Genomic DNA, 20,722 nt, shown 5'->3' on the forward strand with positions numbered 1-20,722 from the left:
TTCCCTCCACACTTCTTTTCTACCTTGTGTTCTACGTGATTATCTGGAAATGAGGTTTCTTACACTTTCCTTACCCTTTTAACCCTCTCCCTCTGCCAAAGTCTTCTGATTCTTTCCAGTTCTGAGTAGTTCTGGTTCTCAAAAAAATTTTAATTTGGCAAAAAAATCTCTTTGACATTCCCTCATTTATCTTTTGGCTCCTTAACCATCCTCTGCTGCAGTTGGAGCTACCTTCCTTGGGCCGTGCCTTATAGCCCAGACATTTTCTGCTTTTCCTGTCCTCTTACTCACATCAACACTTTCTAGAAGACCAAGACAAAAGAGCCATGTTGTCTATTAAACAAATCTCTGACAGTAGACATTAATGTGCTTGCTTTCTTTTCTTTTCTTTTTCTTTTTTTTTTTGAGACGGTCTCACTCTGTCACCCAGGCTGGGCACAAGTGGTGCAATCATGGTTCACTGCAGCCTCCACCTCCCTGGCTCAAGCGATCCTCCCACTTCAGCCTCTGGAATAGCTGGGATCACAGGCACCTGCCACCATGCCTGACTAATTTAAAAATATTTTTTGTAGAGACAGCCTGTGTTGTCCAGGCTGGTTTCAGACTCCCAAGCTCAAGCAATCTGCCCGCCTCTGCCTCCCAAAGTGCTGAGATTACGGACATGAGCCACCATGCCCGGCCGCCTTCCTTTCTTGTCTAGGTTACATGCACATTTCAACTTGAGTACCTCTACAGATAATTCAGAAACCAAGGAGTAATTTAAATACCACAGAAACCAGTTGAAATCTAAGTTTAAATAACCTTAATCTAAGTTTAATCTAAGTTTAAATAACCTTATTCAGAATGTTTTGTCCTCTTAAGATTTTCAGAAAAGTTTATTTATTAATTCATTCAACATTTGTTGGACACCTGATATGTACGAGGCATTGTGCTAGGCATTGGAGTTGCAAAGATGATTAAGAGTTTGTAACTGTTCTCAGGGAACATTTTATTGGGTGAGGCAGACAAATAGAAAAGTAATTACAATACAGTGAGGTAGAAAATGAGGGCAATAGAGGCAAAGTTCTTTTGGGGCAGTAAGAGTGGGTGCTTAACTGTCGAGGAACGTCAGACATGGGTTTACAGAGTAGGAATGAATCTTTAAAGAACTGGAGTCCCCTCCAAAACAGGAAAGATGGAATATCCTGTTGTAAAGCATCTTGCACAGTAAAGTAAGTATTTTGGTACAGCTAGAGAAGGATCGACAGACTTTCTGTAAAGGGCCATGCACACCATATGGTCTCTGTTGGAATTATTCCACTCTGCCATTGTATCATGAAAGCAACCATAAGCAGAATATAATGAATGGGCATGGCTGTGTTCCAGTAAAACTGTATTTTCAAAAACTGGGCCAGGCACAGTGGCTCACGCCTGTAATCCCAGAACTTTGGGAAGCCAAGGCGGGCAGATCACCTGAGGTCAGGAGTTCGAGACCAGCCTGACTAACATAGAGAAACCCCATCTCTACTAAAAATACAAAATTAGCTGGGCATGGTGGTGCATGCCTGTAATCCCAGCTACTCGGGAGGCTGAGGCAGGAGAATTGCTTGAACCTGGGAGGCAGAGGCTGTGGTGAGCTGAGATCACACCATTGCACTCCAGCCTGGGCAACAAGAGCAAAACTCCGTCTCAAACCAAAAAAAAAAAAAAAAAAAAACTGGCAGCAGGCTATATTTGAGTTGCCAGCAGGGCGGTGATATATTAACCCTGAGCTACAGCGTAAAGCAGAAGTAGAGGTGTGGTCAGAGATGAGGATGAAAGATAAGCAGGGACCAAATTACAATATACCTGGTAAACAAGGCTGACAAATTTGGGTCAGTATCTTTCAGAGTGGAAGAGACCTGGTGAATCAGATTCTTTCGGGATAGGGTCTGGGAATTTAAATTTTAATAGGCTTCCCAGTTGAGTGGCTCTTATGTGTAATGAGGTTTGAAAACCAAGGCCATAAATGTTGGGGAGCCATTGAAGGGTTTTAAAGCAGAAGTGACAAAATCTGATTTGTGTTTTTGAAGAAAAATGCCAATGGCTATATGGAGAACAGATTAGGGTGAAAATGTAGGAACTGGGACAAGACCAGAGGCAGACGGTCCGATTATGAAAGAACATGGGTTTTAGCATATGACTGGAGTTCAAATCTCATTTTCACCCTTTCAAACTGTTGTGATTTTGGACAGATTATTTAATCTCTTCAGATATTACTTTCTTCAGATACGGATTGGGTGTGTTAATAAGGACCTTATTGAGTTATTGTGAGAATTAAATGTAATATATGTGTGATCCCATACCAAAATAACTTAATACATACTGAGTTCAATAAATCCTGGTCTTTTTTGAATTCTCACTGGCATGGTTAGATTGCACAGAAGAAAGGCCTGGACTGAAGACCATATTAGAGACTTTACAATGTAAGTTGCAGTTGATGCGGCGTGCATAAAATTCTGAAAAGATAAAGAGTGAAGAGAATAGAGAGCTAAAGAGAACCCTGGAAAACTCTAAAGTGATCAGAAGATTCTTGAAGAATAGGACTCAGCAAAATAAACTGAAAAGAGAGGTCAGTGACGTAAGAGAACCAGAAGACAGGGCTGTTATGCCATCTAAGAGTGGAGAGACTTTTAAAAAGAGGACTTACCAGTTGTGGGGGATGAGGGAGGGGATAGGGGTTGAGAGAGGAGAGGCAGAAGTTAACTCTCAGGCTAGAGATGCCTACTTGATCTTTCTCCTGTCGACTAGAAAAACTGGCAGAAAGGTTAGCAGCAGGAAGATGTGAGTAGACTTTGCTGCTTTCTGTAGATCTGGCAAATATAAAAAGAGAAGAAGCCTAACCCACAGCTGTGAAGGAAGTTATGGGAGCCTTAACATCAAATGAAAACGCCACTGCTTGTTTTTTTTCTTTAAAGTGGTAAAGAGCAGTGGCTAGCCACATTCATATTTATCTTAATTTTTCTTTAATCCGTGGGAGATAACTTTTCTCTTTATGTTTTTAAGAGAAAGACAAAACAAGCCCTCCTGTTTTCCTTTTTGGCTGAGGCTGCTGGTACTTCTTCATCTAAATACAGTAGTTCTCTTAACTTTAACAACTTGAAACTTTTATTAGTTGCCTTAATTAGAGCATCAGGATGTAAATAAGTGTAAAAAGGGTGATAAAAGAAGAGTTCTTAATTGCTTTTCAGATTTTACATCCCTGAGAGGGAGCATTTCTTTGTAACAACTTCTTTTTTTTTTTTTTTTTTGTAACAACTTCTTTAAAGTTGTTGGTGATAGTAGTATCAGTTTAAATCACTTTCAAAATATTGCTGATTTTTCTTTTTCATTTCATTAAATTATCAATCTTTTAATAAATATCTCTTAAATGCCTGGCTCTGTGCTGGATACTATGGGGTTGCAAAAGAAGTAGAAAACACAGCTTCTGTGCTTGAGGAGCTCAGACTACTTGGGGAGATAGAAAAATGTGTGAGTCCACTAAAAAAAAAATAAAGCATATAAATTCAGTGGGATATTAACTCTGTGTTCCAGAACTTTGAAGAAAAATGACTTATGGACTGAGGGTGGTGGTCAGTGAGAGCTTCAGAGAAAGAGGGCTAGAGCTGATCTTAACAAAATAAAACAAGATTTGCCCTTCTGGATGGTGGGAGGATAGAGGGAAAATAGAAATGTAGGTATAGTTAGAAATGCAGGGGATGGGGTTCAGGCTGGTGGTCTCTAGGGAGACTGGCTTGAGTTGATAGAGAGGGTGCCTGCTGGGGATAATGAAAGAGAGAACTGGCTTTTTGTGGGAATCCTGGATGCAGTGGGCTGAATGGTGGCCCCTAAAAAGATATGTCCATGTCTGAATCCCTGGAACCTGTGGTTATCACCTTATATGGTAAAACAATGAATATTACCTTGTATGGCAAAAGATGTGATTAAGGATTTTGAGAAGAGGAGCTTATCCTCCATTATGTGGATGGGCCGTAAATCCAGTGACAAGTGTCCTTATAAGACTAAGGTAGAGGGAGCTTTGATGGACAGATGAGGAAGCAGCGTGACCACTGAGGCAGATTGCAGTGATGTGGCTACAAGTCAAGGAATGCTGGCAGCCACCAGAAGCTGGAGAGGCAAAGAATGGATTCTTCCCCATGACCTCCAGAGGGAATGCAGCTCCACCAGACTGCCCCAGTCTGGACTTCCAGAGCCAGAGAATAAATTTTTGTTGGTTTAAGCCACCACATTTGTGGTAATTTGTTACAGCAGCCCCAAGAAATGAGTATACTGGATATGGTGACTTAGTAAGTAGTGCTGAGCCAGAGGTCTTTTCTTGAACTCGAGGGTGACATGGCCAGGGGCCATTAGAGAAAATTTATTATTTCTATAATGATCAGGTATTACTTTTTTACAGGGAAGAAAAACACCCTAAAGTTATTAAAAGAAAGGTTAATCTGGCAGCTCTTTGCAAAATGAATTGACTAGGGAAGTGGGGTGGAAACGGAGAGATGGTGGGGAGATGCACTGGGAACCTATTGTAACAACCTGTGAGTAGTGCCCTGACTGGTATTAGGGAGTCAGTGAAGCAGGATATTTCCCTGACCCTTTCACGGGACTCACAACGGGTGCCTCATATACTCAGCCCACCACTCTCAACTCCTTGCAGGAGGGAGCATGTGAGCAAATGAGTGAGGGAACTGGAGTGAATGAGCACGGGAATCGGCCAGCTGCTTTGGTGCTAGCAGGAGTGAACTTTATGCAGGCCCAATGGCAGCATCCAGGTAGGGGTGCCTGAGACTTCCGAAGCCCCAGAGGGAGTGTTACAGTGCTCTTTGAGCTCTGCCATCCGTGGATAGCTCAACTGTTAATAGCTCAGTGGACTCTTTGCCTTTTCTTGTGAGGCAACTGCCTTCCACCAGCAAGGACAAAGGGCCAGTGTGACAGCCTTTTGTATCTGCACTTGTGGCTCCCAAGCTCTTATCCAGCGTCCAGGTAAAATGAGGTCACACAAATGAATTGAAGGATGGTGAATGCAGGGGATTTTATTGCTGATGAAAGTAGTTCTCAGCAGGAGGGGGAACTGAAAAGGGGATGGGACTGGTAGGTAATCTTCCCTTGAAGTCCAGCTGTCTCCAGCCAGACTCTTCTCTGAAGTTATGCCGTCAAGCCATTCCTCTGAAGTCAAGCCACTTCTCTCTGACATCTAGCCGTAGTCTCGTCTACCAGTCTCGTCTGGGGGTTTTATAGGCACAGGATGGGGTGGGGCAGGGCCATGGGTGATTTAGGAAAAGGCAACATTCGAGTGGGAAAACAGGGATGTAAGTTCTCATTTTGGGCCGTCATTTCAGGCTTTTCGGCTTGAGGATGGGGTTTTGTCGGGGACCCACCCTTTTCTGTCTAGAATTTTCTGTCCCCTGTCCCTCTCAGTAGGAATGGAGAAGAAGAGAGAAATCAGAGGTTTATAAAGGAATACATTGGCATCACTTTAGTGGGTGAGCATGGAGAATCACAATAGCAGAGGGAAACTTCAATGAGGTGTAACATGAAAAAGTTTGTTAGTTAACCTCCTCAGCACACCCCTTAACTGAGTGCCTAATATCAAAGTGAGTTACATTAAATGAATGACTGTATAGCATAAATACAGCAGTGCATTTAATGCACCTGTCAGTGTTAGAGCTTTTTCAGGAAATTATATGATCAGATTAATGTGTCCTGTCTGAGATGTGGATGGTAATAGGCATGCTTGATTACCTTCTGACAGGTTGCCATGATACAAATCTAGGGACTTGGGTTCTAGTCCTTGCTCTGATGGAAGTCTCTGGACTAAAATCTTGTCATCTATGAAATGAAGAGATCACATATCCTTATCTGTGTCTATGTATACACATCCCTCCACCACCAGCATTCTTGTCTATATTGATATTCTGCTATCTGCAATGTTATTGTTTATTTCATATCTGCTTCTTTTCACTAGTCTAAATACATTAAGATTAAGTGTCCTATTGTTTTGTATTTATCCCTAGAGTTTTACAGTGTTTGGGACAAAGTGGGTATTTAATAAAGGGTCATTGAATAAAGGAATTAATGTGCTCCTCTTTACCTGAAAAAGATGAGGATAATAGTGCTTACCTCATCTGAGGTAATGTGAAATAACATGAGATAGCGTGTAGAGTGCCTCACTCAAGGCCTTGTTCATAATGAGCGCTTTCTGACCACACACCCTGGTTTAGCCCCGAATTTATGTTTTTATTCTGTTTGTCCTGAAAAATGGGAGGTAAATGGTCCAAGAATCTTTGGAATAGGATTAAATGTGGGTGCTGGAGGCTTCCTCATTTTAAGAAGCCCCAGTTAACTCCTAAAGAGCATGCAACTATAATTATATGTTCTCTTTCTGTGGAAGTTAAACTTGTTGACTGTGAAGCCTAGGCCATCCATAATTTCCTCAGGCCTTTGCAGACTGATTTCTGTTTTGTCTTTCGCTGTAATGGTTAATTATAGAATTATCAGCAATCCCTCCCTTGATTAAATCCAGTTTTATCTTAATTCTCAACCTTAAAACTCATGAGTTAGAACCTTATGCTTGACCCCTCCCCTCCAGAATACTCATTCTTCTCATAAGCTTCTGTATCTGTGCTACCTTGATTCTTTCCTTTCAGCTATTTTTGCTTTTTCAGGCTCACTAGGCAACCATGTCTTTTTAAAAAATAATAGCTTTATTGAAAGGTAATTCACAAACCATAAAATTCACCCTTTTAATTTGTTCATCCTGTGATTCTTAGTATATTCACAGAATTGTGCAATGATCATCACTATCTAATTCCAGAACAGTTCTATCACTCCAAGAAGAGACTCTTACAAACAAACTGTGGTACATCCCTCTGGCAGAATACTATTTAGCAGTAAAAAGAAACGAGTTGCTAGGTGTACCTGTAGTTCCAGCTACTTGGGAGGGTGAGGCAGGAGGATAGCTTGAGCCCAAGAGTCTGAGACCAGCCTGGGCAACATAGCGAGGCCCTGTTTCTTAAAAAAAAAAAGAAAAGAAAAGAAAGAAAGAAAAATAAATAAACAAGCTATCAAGCCACGAAAAGTCATGGAGGAGCCTTAAATGCATATTGCTAAGTGAAAGGAGCCATTTTGGAGAAGGCAAAACTGTAGAGATAGTAAAAAGTTCAGTGATTGTCAGGGTTTCAGGAGAGGGAGGAAGAGAGGGAGGAATAGATGGAGCACAGGGGGTTTTTAGGGCAGTGAGACGATTCTGTATGATACTGCTTATCAAAATTCATAGAATATACCACACCAAGAGTGAACTCTAATGTAAACTGTGGACTTCAGTTACTAATAATAAATCAATGTTAGTTCATCAATTATAATAAATGTACCACACTAATGAAAGATGTTAATAATAAGGGAAACTGTGAGAGTGGAGAGGGGATAGTATAGGAACTCCCTGTACTTTCTTCTTAATTTTCCCGTAAACCTAAACAGCTGTAAAAAAATAAAGTCTATTGATTTAAAAAAGAAAAAAAGAAACTCTGAGGCCATTAACAGGCACTCCCCATTTTTTCTTCCCTTCTCAGCCCTAAGCAACCATTAATCTACTTTAAGTCTCTATAGATTTGGAATAATACAATATGTGGCCTTTTGTATTTGTCTTTCACTTAGCATAATGCTTTCAAGGCTATCAGTGTTGTACCGTGTGTCAGCACTTCATTCCATTTTATAGCTGAATAATGTTCCATTGTATGGATATACTACTTTTTGTTATCTATTCATCAGTTGATGGACATTTGGGTTGTTTCTGCTTTTTAGGTATCATGAGTAATGGTGCTGTGAACATTGATATACAAGTTCTAATGTGGACCTATGTTTTCCTTTCTTTTTGGAATATACCTAGGGCTGGAATTGCTAGGTTATAAACTTTATGTTTAACTTTTTGAGGAACTGCCAAAATGTTTTCCAAAGTGGCTGCACCATTTTACATTCCCACAGCAATGTATGAGGATTTCACTTTCTCCACATCTGCACCAGTACTTGTTACTGGTTGTCTTTTTTTTTGAGACGGAGTCTCACTTTGTTGCCAGGATGGAGTGGTGCAATCTCGGCTCACTGCAACCTCCAACTCCCGGGTTCAAGCGATTCTCCTGCCTCAGCCTCCCGAGTAGCTGGGCCTACAGGCGCGCGCCACCATGCCCAGCTAATTGTTTTTTATTTTTAGTAGAGATGGGGTTTCACTATGTTGGCCAGGATGGTCTTGATCTCTTGACATTATGATCCGCCCACCTCAGCCTCCCAAAGTGCTGGGATTACAGGCTAAGCCACCATGCCTGGCATTGGCTATCTTTTTGATTATGTAAACATCCTAGTGGGTGTAAAGTGATATATTTTGTGGTTTTCATTCACATTTCCCTGATGACTAATGATGTTGAGTATTTTTTCATTTGCTTATTGGCATTTGTATATCTTCTTTGGAGGAATGTCTATCCAAATCCTTGCCCCTTTTTAAAATTGGGTTGTCTTTTTATTATTGAGTTGTAAGAGTTCTTTATGTATTCTAGATACAAGTCCCTTATCATATTTGTGATTTACAAATATTTTCTCCCATTCTGTGGGTTGTCTTTTTACCTTGATTATCCTTGAAATACAGTTTGGTAGCTTGTGCTTATCATATCTAAGAAACCATTGCCTAATCCAAGGTCATAAGGAGTAAATCCTCTGTTTTCCTCTAAGTTTTATAGTTTTATCTCTGACATTTAGGCCTTTGTTCTATTTTTTTTAAATTTGAGACAGGGTCTCACTCTGTCATCTAGGCCGGACTGCAGTGGCACAAACCCAGCTTCACTGCAGTCTTGACCTCCTGGGCTCAAGAGATCCTCTCGCCCCAGCCTCCCAAAGTGCTGGGATTACAGTGTGAACCACTGCACCCGGCTTGTTCAATTTTTAATTTTTGTATATGGTACGAGGTAGTGATCCAACTTAATTATTTTGCAAGTGGCTATCCACCTGTCCCAGCACCCTTTATTGAAGAGACTATTCTTTCCCCATTTAATTGCTTTGGCACCTTGTCAAAAATCAATTGACCATAAACGTAAGGATTTATTTCTGGATTCTCTATGCTTTTCCATTGGTCTGTATGTCTGTCCTTGTGCCAGTATTACACTGTCTTGATTACTGTAGCTTTCTAATAAATTCTGAAATCAGAAAGTGTGAGCCCTCCAATTTGCGTCTTTTTCAAGATTGTTTTGGTTATTCTGGGTCCCTCGTATTTCCATGTGAACTTTAGGATTAGCCTGCCAATTTCAGCAAAAAGGTAGCTGAGATTTTGATAGGAATTTTGTTGAAACTGTAGATCAATTTGAGGAGTATTCCTTTCTTAATAATAATAAATCTTCCAGCCCACTAACATGGGCTGCCTTTCCATTTATCAGATCTTCTTTAATTTCTTTTAATGATATTTTGTGGTTTTTAGTGCACAGATTTGACACTCCTTATGCTAAATTTATTCCTGAGTATTGTATTCTTTTTTAGGCTACTGTAAGTGGAGTCATTTTCTTAATTTCATTTTCAGATTGTTCATTGATAGTGTGTAGAAACACAACTGATTTTTGTATATTGATCTTGTATCCTGGACCCTTGCTCTACTCATTTAGTAGCTCTAATAGGTTTTTTCAGGGGGGCAAGAATTCTTTTGGATTGGATTTTCTATATATAAAATCATGTCACCTTCAAGGAGATAGCTTTACTTTTTCCTTTCCTTTCCCTGAATGCTTCCTATTTTTTCTTGGTAGTTCAGTGTTAAATAGAAGTGATGAGAGAAGACAAGATTGTTGCCTTATTCATGATCTTTGGGGGAAAGCATTCAGTATTCTACCATTAGTAAGATGTTAGCTGTGGGTTTTTTGTAGATGTCCATTATCAGATTGGGGAAGTTTCCTCCTATTTCTAGGTTATTGAGTGTTTTTATCATGTGAAGATGTTGAATTTCTGTCAAGTCCTTTTTTTGTGTGTGTGTGAGATGAACATGCAAGTTTTGTCCTTTTTTTCCTGTTGATACAGTGTATTATAGTAATTGATTTCTCAGTTGTCAAACCAACATTTATTCTTGAGATAAATCCCTTTTAGTCATGGTGTATAATCTTCTTTGTTGCTAGATTCAGCCTTCTAGTATTTTATTGAGGATTTTTTGCATATAAATTCACAAGACCATATTGGTCTGTAGTTTTCTTCTGATATCTTTGGTTTTGGTTTCAAGTACATATTGGCCTCGTGGAGTAAGTTGAAATAAGCTTTCTCCTATTCCACTTTTTGGAAGAGTTTGTGAGGTTAATTATTTAAATATTTGGTAGAATTCATTAGTGAAGTCATGTAAACCTAGGCTTTTCTTTGATTACTAATCGAATAAAATTTTTTATTACTGATTGTGTCTTGTTATTGCTATAGATCTAATTCAGATTTTCTATTTCTTCTTGAGTCTGTTTTGCTACTTTGTGTCTTTCTAGGAATTTGTCCATTTCATCTAGGTTATCTAGTTTTTTTGGCATGCAATTTTTCCTAGTATTCCTTTGCATCCCTTTTATTTCTGTAGTGTTAGTAATGGTGTCTCTTTCGGTCATGATTTTAGTATTTTTGAGTTTTTTCTTTCTCTAATGGTCCGTCTAGCTAAAGGTTGGTGAATTTTGTTGATCCTTTTGAGGAACAATCTTTTGGTTTCATTGATTTTTCTCTGTTGTATTTCCATTCTTTATTTTATTCATCTCTGCCTACTATTTATCATTACATTCTATCTGTCTGCTTTATGTTTAATTTGCTCTTCTTTTGCTAGTTTCTTAAGGTGGAAGATTAGATTACTGATTTGAAACCACCTTTCTTCTTTAAAACAAACAAAAAGGTGTGTTCCGCTCCCTCTGAGGAATGCTCCAGTTGTACCCCATGAGTTGTGGTATGTTGTATTTTCTTTTTCTTTCATCTCAAAGTATTTTTCTAATTTCCCTTGTAATCACAATTGCCATCTATTTTCCTCAAAGTATTTTTCTAATTTCTCTCATAATCACAATTTTCTTTGACACATTGGTTATTTAAGAATGTCTTTTGTTTTTTAACTGTCATTTATTAAATACTGATTACCAGGTACTAAGAATTATATGACACAGTTCCAGGTGCTTACTTTGAAAAAGTCATGACCTTTAGTTTAGCTTGTCTTAAAAGAGAAAGTGTTTAAAACAGGGAGTTGGAAAATTGGGACCTTTAGTCTTGCTTGTAATCAGTAGACTTTAACACTTTTGACATATAATGAAGACAGACTTAGTATTTCAGAAACCTTACTGATGTCTAACATCTTTAATAGCCCACCTTTGTGAAAGAAGCTCTCTGTGAAGGGTAAGAAAAATCACTGGCTAGCGGGTTTCTTTTCTAAGTGATTGGAGGTAGGGAGACAGGTCTTTATTGTTTCCCTTGGGCTCACTGTCCGCATCTCACAAATGTGCTCTAGGGCAGAAAAAGACATAAAATGGATAGTGGGTAAAGAGGTATACTGTTTTAAAGCCAGCTGTTTAAATTTTCACATGACTCTATGTCAGTAGAAATAAAATTAGAACAGGAAAAAAAGCTAGATGTGTGGGGTTATTTTCATAGTTTTCTTTGGAGTTTATGTCGGTACATGAAAGTCAGTAATTTTGTTTACCCATATTAATATGCTTCCTCACAGAAGTTATCAGGAAAGAGCAAGGGAACAATGTGGTTATCATTGAGTTTGTGAAAACTATGAATTGTGAAGAATGGTCTTTTGGCCCAGGAATTAGTGGGCTTGATTTCAGTTTTAGCTGCTGGTTCTTGGTTCCTAATTAACGCCCCCTATCTGTTCCTCAGTCTTTATGGCTTATGAAATATATAAAGTTTAGTAGTTAAGGCAACTGGTACTAACCTACATTTGTGTAATACTTTTTTCTCTTTTATTTTTTTAATCTCCTCAAATTCCTTTTACCAAATACTTTTTTTCTTTATAAAGTAGTCTCATATACATTGTTATAGCTAAGATTTACAATAATCCTGTGTTATACTTACTCTCTTAGAACTTTAGGCATTAGCTGTTACAAAAAGCCAAAACATTTGGTTTATTACTGAGAAAAAGTTAAGCTAGAGAAGTGGTGATTATGTAGTTTTAAATGTAACTTTATAGGAAATGACATAAAATACAGAAACCTTGGATTCATATACTATGCCTTTCTTTTTTTTTTTTTTTTTTTTTTTTTTTGAGACGGAGTCTCGCTCTGTCGCCCAGGCTGGAGTGCAGTGGCGGGATCTCGGCTCACTGCAAGCTCCGCCTCCCGGGTTCACGCCATTCTCCTGCCTCAGCCTCCCAAGTAGCTGGGACTACAGGCGCCCGCCACTACGCCCGGCTAATTTTTTGTATTTTTAGTAGAGACGGGGTTTCACCGTTTTAGTCAGGATGGTCTCGATCTCCTGACCTCGTGATCCGCCCGCCTCGGCCTCCCAAAGTGCTGGGATTACAGGCGTGAGCCACCGCGCCCGGCCAGCCTTTCTAATTTAAAAAAAAGGAATAACACAGTTCCAATTAAAATATTTTGCTGCCATAAAAACTAAACAAAGGGTTATAGCTTTTATTTTATATTTTTATGATTGCTAGGTTTGTTTCAAAAATCAGTGAAGTCCATGAAGTACACTGTGTTCTCTTTCTGGCGTCTCAAAAGCAGCTACTCCTGAATTAATTAAAAAGAGCAATATATGAGGTATTGGATTATAGTGTTGTATGATTAATGACTCATTTTACTACATGAAGAATAGATGTCATTATCCATTTATTTCACTACAGACATGAGTTCTTGATGTAATATATAAGCTTTTCAAAAAGTGTATTCAATAGTAAATACACTTTGTTTTAACTCAGGTTGATTTCAAAATATTTTATTAAAATTATGTGATTGATGAGATATAAGCATAATTTTAAATTTAACCCATTTTAATATCTGGATGAACTAGGTCATCCTGCAATTGCTTTCAAATATTTGGCTCTGAAGAAAGTTTCATTATTTTTATATATATATATAAATTTTTTTAATTTTTATTTTTTATTTTTTACTTTTTGTTTGAGCTGGGGTCTTGCTCTTGTCATCTAGCCTGGAGTGCAGTGGCCCGATCTGGACCCACTGCAACCTCCACCTCCCACGTTCAAGCGATTCTCCTGCCTTGGCCTCCTCCCAAGTAGCTGGGATTACAGGTGCCCACCACCGTGCCCGGCTAAGTTTTGTATTTTTAGTAGAGAAGGGGTTTCACCATATTGGCCAGGCTGGTCTCGAATTCCTGACCTCAGGTGATCCACCTGCCTCAGCCTCCCAAAGTGTTGGGATTACAGGTGTGAGCCACCACACCCAGCTAGATGTATATTGTTATAATGTAATAAAAACATGACGATTGGGCCAGGCCCGGTGGATCACCTCAGGTGGGCACCTGTAATCCCAGCTACTTGGGAGGCTGAGGCAGGAGAATCGGTTGAACCTAGGAGCAGGAGGTTGCAGTGAGCTGAGATCGCGCCATTGCATTCCAGCCTGGGCGACAAGAGTAAGACTCCATCTCAAAACAAACAAACAAACAAAAAACATGACGATGATGCAGAAGAGAAAAGCTTTAAAAGACCAGGTTTTGAAAACTTGAAACTAACTTGGAAGCAGTACTGAAGAACCTGGCTTTAAGACGGTGATGGAAAGGACAGATTTTTTTTCCCCAGAGCCTTGGAGTAATCTGTGTCATTTCAGAGCCACCCCACAAAAATGCTAGATACAATGGTTGGCCATCATGATGTGACAGAAGTTTGGTAAATGTGGCTGATTCACATTTAAAGCTTGGTTTTCTTGACCTAACTATTAGACTTAGTAATGATCTCATCTTTTTAGGGTACTTAGCATTGTGAATGTGATACTAATAGTGATTTCAAACAAATCAGAGTTTTTGTTTCCAAACAGATATTGACCCTTTGAGTTTTGCTATCTGGGAAGGCACCTACATTTATTCTAATGATTTGCCAGTGTTTGAATTTTGCATCTTCTCTTTTAGAATTGCCTTTAAAGCCTTAGCAATATTCCTGTCAGGACACTAAAGATATAAAATGTTTATTCTTCGAGGGCGATTTTCAGAAAGAGCTAGACATCAGTCATTCAGAACCATGTCAGAAAAATAAAGTGGATAATCAGATTGGGAATTTAAAGAATAGTGTATAGTTCTAACATATTGTGTTATGCCTTATAAAACTTATAAAAACAGGCTCCAATACTACTTTTCAGAAAATCTTTGAACTGTGGCATTATTGGAATAAATGTACCCCCTTTCAAGGTGACTGCATTAAAGAACACTTACTTGATGTGTAAGTTCAGGTTCAAGTGTTTAGTAATTCATCATCTTTACCATATAGTTACATCTTGCATAAAAACTTGGGAAGGTTTCAAAGCTAAACAATGAAGAAGATTAAATTACTTTGGCAGTCACCTAATAATTGTGCCTAGGCAGGTAATTGAGTAACAGGAATATTGAGAGGTTGCTTTATGACATCAGTGGGAGCAGGGAGAAATCTACTGAGACAGTTGAGGCTTTCTGTTTGTTCCTTTGGGCTCAACAAATTTGAGGGAATTTATAGCCAAATTCCTTAGGATACATATTTATGTGTGTATATATATACGATTTTATACACATATTTTATATTTTATTATCTAATTTGAAAATCATAAAAATATAGGTGAGGAAAAGCTATTTATAATTACACCTATCAGAGAAGTCTTCACTGACCTTGTTAACTTCCTTTCTTCTATGTATTGTCTTATAATGTTGAGATCATAATGAACTTACAGTTTTGAATGTTGAGTTCTTTAAATGTATTTTGTTGCAATTATTTTTCTCAAGGCAATAAAAACTTCTTCATGAGTCCAGGCACAATGGCTCACACCTGTAATCCCAGCACTTTGAGAGGCGGAGGCAGGAGGATCGCTTGAGGCCGGGAGTTTGAGACCAGCCTGGTCAACATAGCAAGACACCATCTCTACAAAGCGATTTTTTTTTTTTAATTAGCCAGGCATGGTGATGCTCACCTGTAGACCCAGCTACTAGGGAGGCTGAGGCAGAAGATCACTTGAACTCAGGAATTCAAGACCGCAGTGAGCTATGATGGTGCCACTGTGCTCCAGCCTGGGTAACAGAGTAAGCGAGAACCTGTCTCAAAAAAAGAAAAAAAAGTGGGGCCTGGCACCATGGCTTACTCCTAGCACCTTGGGAGGCCAAGGCAAATGGATCAGTTAAGCCTAGGAGTTGGAGACCAGCCTGGGCAACATGGTGAAACCCCATCTCTAAAAACAACAACAAAAATAGAAAAATTAGCCAGGCATGGTGGCTCATGCCTATAGTTACAGCGACACGGGAGGCTGAAGTGGAAGGATCACCTGAGCCCTGGAGGTCAAGGCTGCAGTTAACCATGATTGTACTACTGAACTCTAGCCTGAGTGACAGAGTGAGACCCTGTCTGGAAAAAAAAAAAAAAAAAATTGTCATGAACAAAATATTTAGTAGACATTTTTCTTATCTATCTCCATATGGTTTGTAAAGTTTACTGGTGAGCTAAATAAATAAATAAATAAAGTTTTTATTATCTCCATATGGTTTGTAAAGTTTACTGGTGAGCTATTTAAACTTTATTATCAAATAAATAATAAAAATGTATATTATTTCTTCTTTCACATTCATGGTTTCAAAAGTGTCAGAAAATAAATTAGGGAAAGACCCAGAAGGCATTTGATGGGATTATGCTTTCTTAGTTCCGTAGGGCTTCACTCACGTTTTGTTTATAAATGTTCTCTTTGCTAATATGCAGCCATATTCACTTTTCTGTACACAGAACTAAGGAAAAAATTATTTCTTCTCTCGCTTGCTGAAGGTGGTTGGAGGCAAAGTAAAGAAGCCCGGTAAACGTGGTCGGAAGCCAGCCAAAATTGACTTGAAAGCAAAACTTGAGAGGAGCCGGCAGAGTGCAAGAGAATGCCGAGCCCGAAAAAAGCTGAGATATCAGTATTTGGAAGAGTTGGTATCCAGTCGAGAAAGAGCTATATGTGCCCTCAGAGAGGAACTGGAAATGGTAAGAAATCGTCAGTAAACACATGAAAAAATCACCTTAACAGTCAAATAAATAATACATTAAAATACGAAAATACCAGTTATCACCTGTCCAGTTGGCAAACATTGGAGAGAATATTAATCTGTTAGCCAGGATGGGGGCAAATAGGCATCTTCATACACTGCTGGTGGGAGCAGAGTGTACGTGACTGTTAACACTAAGGGATTGTTTATGAGAGAAGAAAATGGAAAATAACCCAGATGGACAATAATAAAGGACTGGTTAAATAAATGTTACTACATCCATGTATTAGACTACTTCGTAGCCAGTAAAAATCACAATGCACATATATTTACTGATGTAGAAAGATACAATATATTGCTAAGTAGACAAAGCAATATAACAATATGTAACTATGCATAGCATACCATTTGTGTTTAAGTGACTTTATTTATTTATTTTTATTTTTTATTTTTTATTTTTTTGAGATAGAGTCTTGCTCTGTCGCCCAGGCTGGAGTGCAGGGCGCGATCTCAGCTCATTGCAAGCTCTACCTCCCAGGTTCACGCCATTCTCCTGCCTCAGCCTCCTGAGTAGCTGGGACTACAGGTGCCCATCACCATGCCCGGCTAATTTTTTTTGTATTTTTAGTAGAGATGGGGTTTCACTGCATTAGTCAGGATGGTCTCAATCTCCTGACCTCATGGTCCACTCGCCTTGGCCTCCCAAAGTGCTGGGATTACAGGCATCAGCCACTGCACCCAGCCAAGTGATTTTGTTTATTTTACATGTTTTATTCACTCATCCATTCAGCCTTTGGGCAGTGGCTGTAAAAATGTGAAAGAGAGTAGATAAAACAGAATTGAAACTCCATTATTGTGAGCTGAGGGAGGAAGTGACAGAAGAGAGAGATGATATTACTGTGATCATTACACAACTGGGACAGGCTTCTACAGGTTTTTAGAAAGTAAGACAACAAGGTTGGAACATGAAGAGGAGGGACATGAACAGTGTTGTATATATTGTCCAGATATATGCTATTCAGTAGATTTTTTTGATATGTTGAATGTGACATGCTATCAATTATTTCTTACTTTCTGCAGTGTAAGCCACTTGAGGGCAGAATCTTTGGTCAGCTTTGTCTTTGTATACCCCCAAAGTCCCTAGCATGCACTCTGGTAGATAGTAGATGTTTAATGATCACTTGTTAAAGAGAGAAAGGAAATTACTAACATTTATTTCTTTATTTTGGGAGTAGAAATAATACTGTGACAATTATTAAAAAAAAAAAGATTAATTCTAACTAGTGGCACACTGTGGGGAGATGTCCTTTTAACCACAGGGGCCTTTTAAATCTGAGCAACACTCCAGTACATCAAAGACAATTCAGCAGCAGTTTTTCCGCCTCTTCTGAAAGATGGCAGATCTCGTACATGTCCTCAGTTATAAATAGGTAATACCATGGAGGGTGGGATTCCCAGCAGCGAACGTGACCTCTAGCCATGGGAGTTCCTATGTCTAGGATTTCTACCAGTGGTTCCTGAACTCTGACAAGTAAAAGTTAATTTAAATATGTTTTAAATTTATATTTATATTTAAAATTAAATATGTTTCAGTACAAGCAGTGGTGCATGGCAATGGACCAAGGAAAAATCCCTTCTGAAATAAAGGCCCTACTCACTGGAGAAGAGCAGAACAAATCTCAGCAGAACTCAAGCAGGCATACCAAGGCTGGGAAGACAGATGCTAATAGCAATTCCTGTAAGTGCCATCAATGGGAGAATTTATATTTAAGAGAGTGTCTCGGTTGGGCGCAGTGGCTCATGACTGTAATCCTAGCACTTTGGGAGGCCGAGGTGGGCAGATCGCTTGAGCCCAGGAGTTCAAGACCAGACAGGGCAACATGGCAAAACCCCATCTCTACAAAAAAATACAAAAATTCGCTGGGCATGGGGGTGCATGCCTGTAATCCCAGCTATTTGGGAGACTGAGGTGGGAGGATCACCTGAGCCCAGGGATGTTGAGGCTGCGGTGAGCCATGATCATGAAACCCTGTCTCAAAAGGGGGGAACAAAAAGAGGGTATCTCAAGGTAGGGTATCTCAGGGTAGGGTTTCTGTTGACCACTTTTCTTAGTATGTCTTTAAATAAAATGTTGATGCCATTTTTAATACACTAATAAGCAAATGAAATGGCATTAGATTCTGGCCAGGTGTGGTGGCTTATGCCTGTAGTCCCAGCACTTTGGGAGGCTGAGGTGGGCAGATCACTTGAGGCCAGGAGTTTGAGATCACCCTGGCCAACATGGTGAAACCCCATTTCTATTAAAAATACAAAAATTAGGCGCAGTGGTGTGCGCCTGTAATCCCAGCTACTCAGGAGTCTGAAGCACAAGAATTGCTTTAACCTGGGAAATGGAGGTTGCAGTGAGCTAAGATCATGCCATTGCACTCCAGCCTGGGCGACAGAGTGAGACCTCGTCTCAAAAAAAAAGAAAAAGAGAAATGGCTTAGATTCTAAATATTAAAATGCATTTTACATGGAGTCTATAAAGAGCAACTGATAAATTTATCGAAATTTTATTATTAATAGACTTAGTCCATAAATGGGAGTGGCACGAATCTAGCTTTTTGTTAATAATAATACCTTTTATTTGTATTTTGATTTACAGTTTACAGAGTACTTTCATTTATATTTATCTTAAATATTCCCTCCATTGATTGTGTTAAGGAATTATACTTATTTTATAGATGAAAAAATAGCAGAAAGGCTGGCTAAGGTGCCCAAGGTCACACAGCTTTAATGGTAGAACCTGTCCTCACCTAATCCAGGCTGTCTAGTGCAGTAGCCCATCATCGTAAGGATTGTTTTTAATTGAGGTAAAATTCACATAACATAAAAATTGAGAGCCATTTAGTACATTCACAATGTTGTGCAACCATTATGTCTACCTAGTTATGAAACTTTTAATCACCTCAAAAGAAAATCCTGAACCCATTAAGCAGTTATTCCCCATTACCCACTTCCCCCAACCCCTGGCAACCATGAATCTACTTTCTGTCTCTATGGATTTACCTATTCTGTATATTAATATTTTATATACCTGGAGTCTATACAGTATGTGACTTTTTGGGTCTGGCTTCTGTCACCTAGTATAATGTTTTCGAGGTTCATCCACATTGTAGCATGTATCATCAGTATTTAATTCCTCTTTATGGTCAAATAATATTTATATATATACAGTTGTTTATCCTTTGATGGACATATGTTTTTACCTCTTAGATATTGTGAGTAGTACTGCTGTGAACATGTGCATATAGGTATTTGTTTTCATACCTGTTTTGAATTCATTTGTATGTATACCTAGGAGTCAAATTGCTGGGTCATATGACAATTCTGTGTTTAATTTTTGAGGAATAGTCAAACTGTTTTCCACAGTACCTGAAACATTTTACATTCCCACCAGCAATGTATGTCTGCTCCAATTTGTCCACATCTCATCAACTTATTTTCCATTTTTTAAAACTATAGCCATCCTAATGGGTATGGAGTGGTATCTCATTGTGTTTGGTTTGCATTTCCCTAATGCCTAATGATGCTGAACATATTTTCTATGCTTGTTGGCCATTCGTATGTATTCTTTGGGGAAATGTCTAGGTCCCCTGCTCATGTTTTAATTAGGTTGTTTTTGTTGTTGAGTGGTAACAGTTCTATTGGGGGAACCTGCCCCCAATATTTCAATGTAGGTTCTTTCTATTTTCCATAAATGTCGGCCAACTGAGAAATAAAGAGAGACAGTACAAAGAGAGGAATTTTACAGCTGGGCCGCCAGGGGTGACATCACATATCGGTAGGACCGTGATGCCCGCCTGAGTCTCAGACCAGCAAGTTTTTATTAAGGGTTTCAAAAGGGGAGGTGGTGTAAGAACAGGGAGTAGGCACAAAGATCACATGCTTCAAAGGGCAAAAAGCAGAGCCACTAATAAGGGTCTAACAAAGATCACGTGCTTTTGAGGGAACAGGACAAGGGCAAAAGCAGAACCACTGATAAGGGTCCAACAAAGATCACAGGGCAAAGGGCAAAAGCAGAACCACTGATAAGGGTCTATGTTCAGCAGTGCACATATTGTCTTGATAAACATCTTAAACAACAGAAAACGGGGTTTGAGAGCAGAGAAGCGGTCTGACCACAAATTTACCAGGGCAGAGTTTTTCCCCACCCTAGTAAGCCTGAGGGTTCTGCAGGAGACCAGGGCGTATCTCAGTCCTTATCTCAACTGCACAAGACAGACATTTCCCAGAGTGGCTGTTTATAGACCTCCCCCCAGGAACACATTCCTTTCCCAGGGTATTAATATTAATATTCCTTGCTAGGAAAAGAATTTAGCAATATCTTTCCTACTTGCATGTCCGTTTATAGGCTCTCTGCAAGAAGAGAAATATGGCTCTTTTTGTCTGACCCAGCAGGCAGTCAGATCTTATGGTTTTCTTCCCTTGTTCCATAAAAATCACTGTTATTCTGTTCTTTTTCAAGGTGCACTGATTTCATATTGTTCCAACACACATTTTACAATCAATTTGTACAGTTAACACAATTATCACAGTGGTCCTGAGGTGA

General features: G+C 39.2%; 1 protein-coding gene and 1 long non-coding RNA gene across 2 annotated transcripts in view, besides 1 other annotated feature; both read left to right on the forward strand.

Moving 5' to 3' along the window:
- The window catches only part of CREBL2 (cAMP responsive element binding protein like 2), a 33,233-nt gene that overhangs the window by 7,973 nt on the left and 4,538 nt on the right, over positions 1-20,722 (forward strand). Inside the window, exons 2-3 of the mRNA NM_001310.4 lie at positions 15,929-16,126; positions 17,722-17,866. Coding sequence (NP_001301.1) covers positions 15,929-16,126; positions 17,722-17,866 — 343 coding nt within the window. The remainder of the gene's footprint in view (positions 1-15,928; positions 16,127-17,721; positions 17,867-20,722) is intronic.
- Positions 4,767-5,061: a silencer, noted in NCBI's record as "tiled region #2795; HepG2 Repressive DNase matched - State 5:Enh, and K562 Repressive non-DNase unmatched - State 24:Quies". NCBI's record gives its function as "represses a minimal TATA promoter and a strong SV40 promoter by Sharpr-MPRA in HepG2 and K562 cells {active_cell/tissue: HepG2 | K562}" and the evidence as "EXISTENCE:reporter gene assay evidence [ECO:0000049][PMID:27701403]".
- LOC124902880 (uncharacterized) lies at positions 12,564-15,649 on the forward strand. Its single transcript, XR_007063213.1, has 2 exons — positions 12,564-12,743; positions 14,905-15,649. It is a non-coding gene; the product is annotated as an uncharacterized LOC124902880 (long non-coding RNA).

The sequence above is a fragment of the Homo sapiens genome, chromosome 12, assembly GCF_000001405.40.
Source record: "Homo sapiens chromosome 12, GRCh38.p14 Primary Assembly".
NCBI lineage: Eukaryota > Metazoa > Chordata > Mammalia > Primates > Hominidae > Homo > Homo sapiens.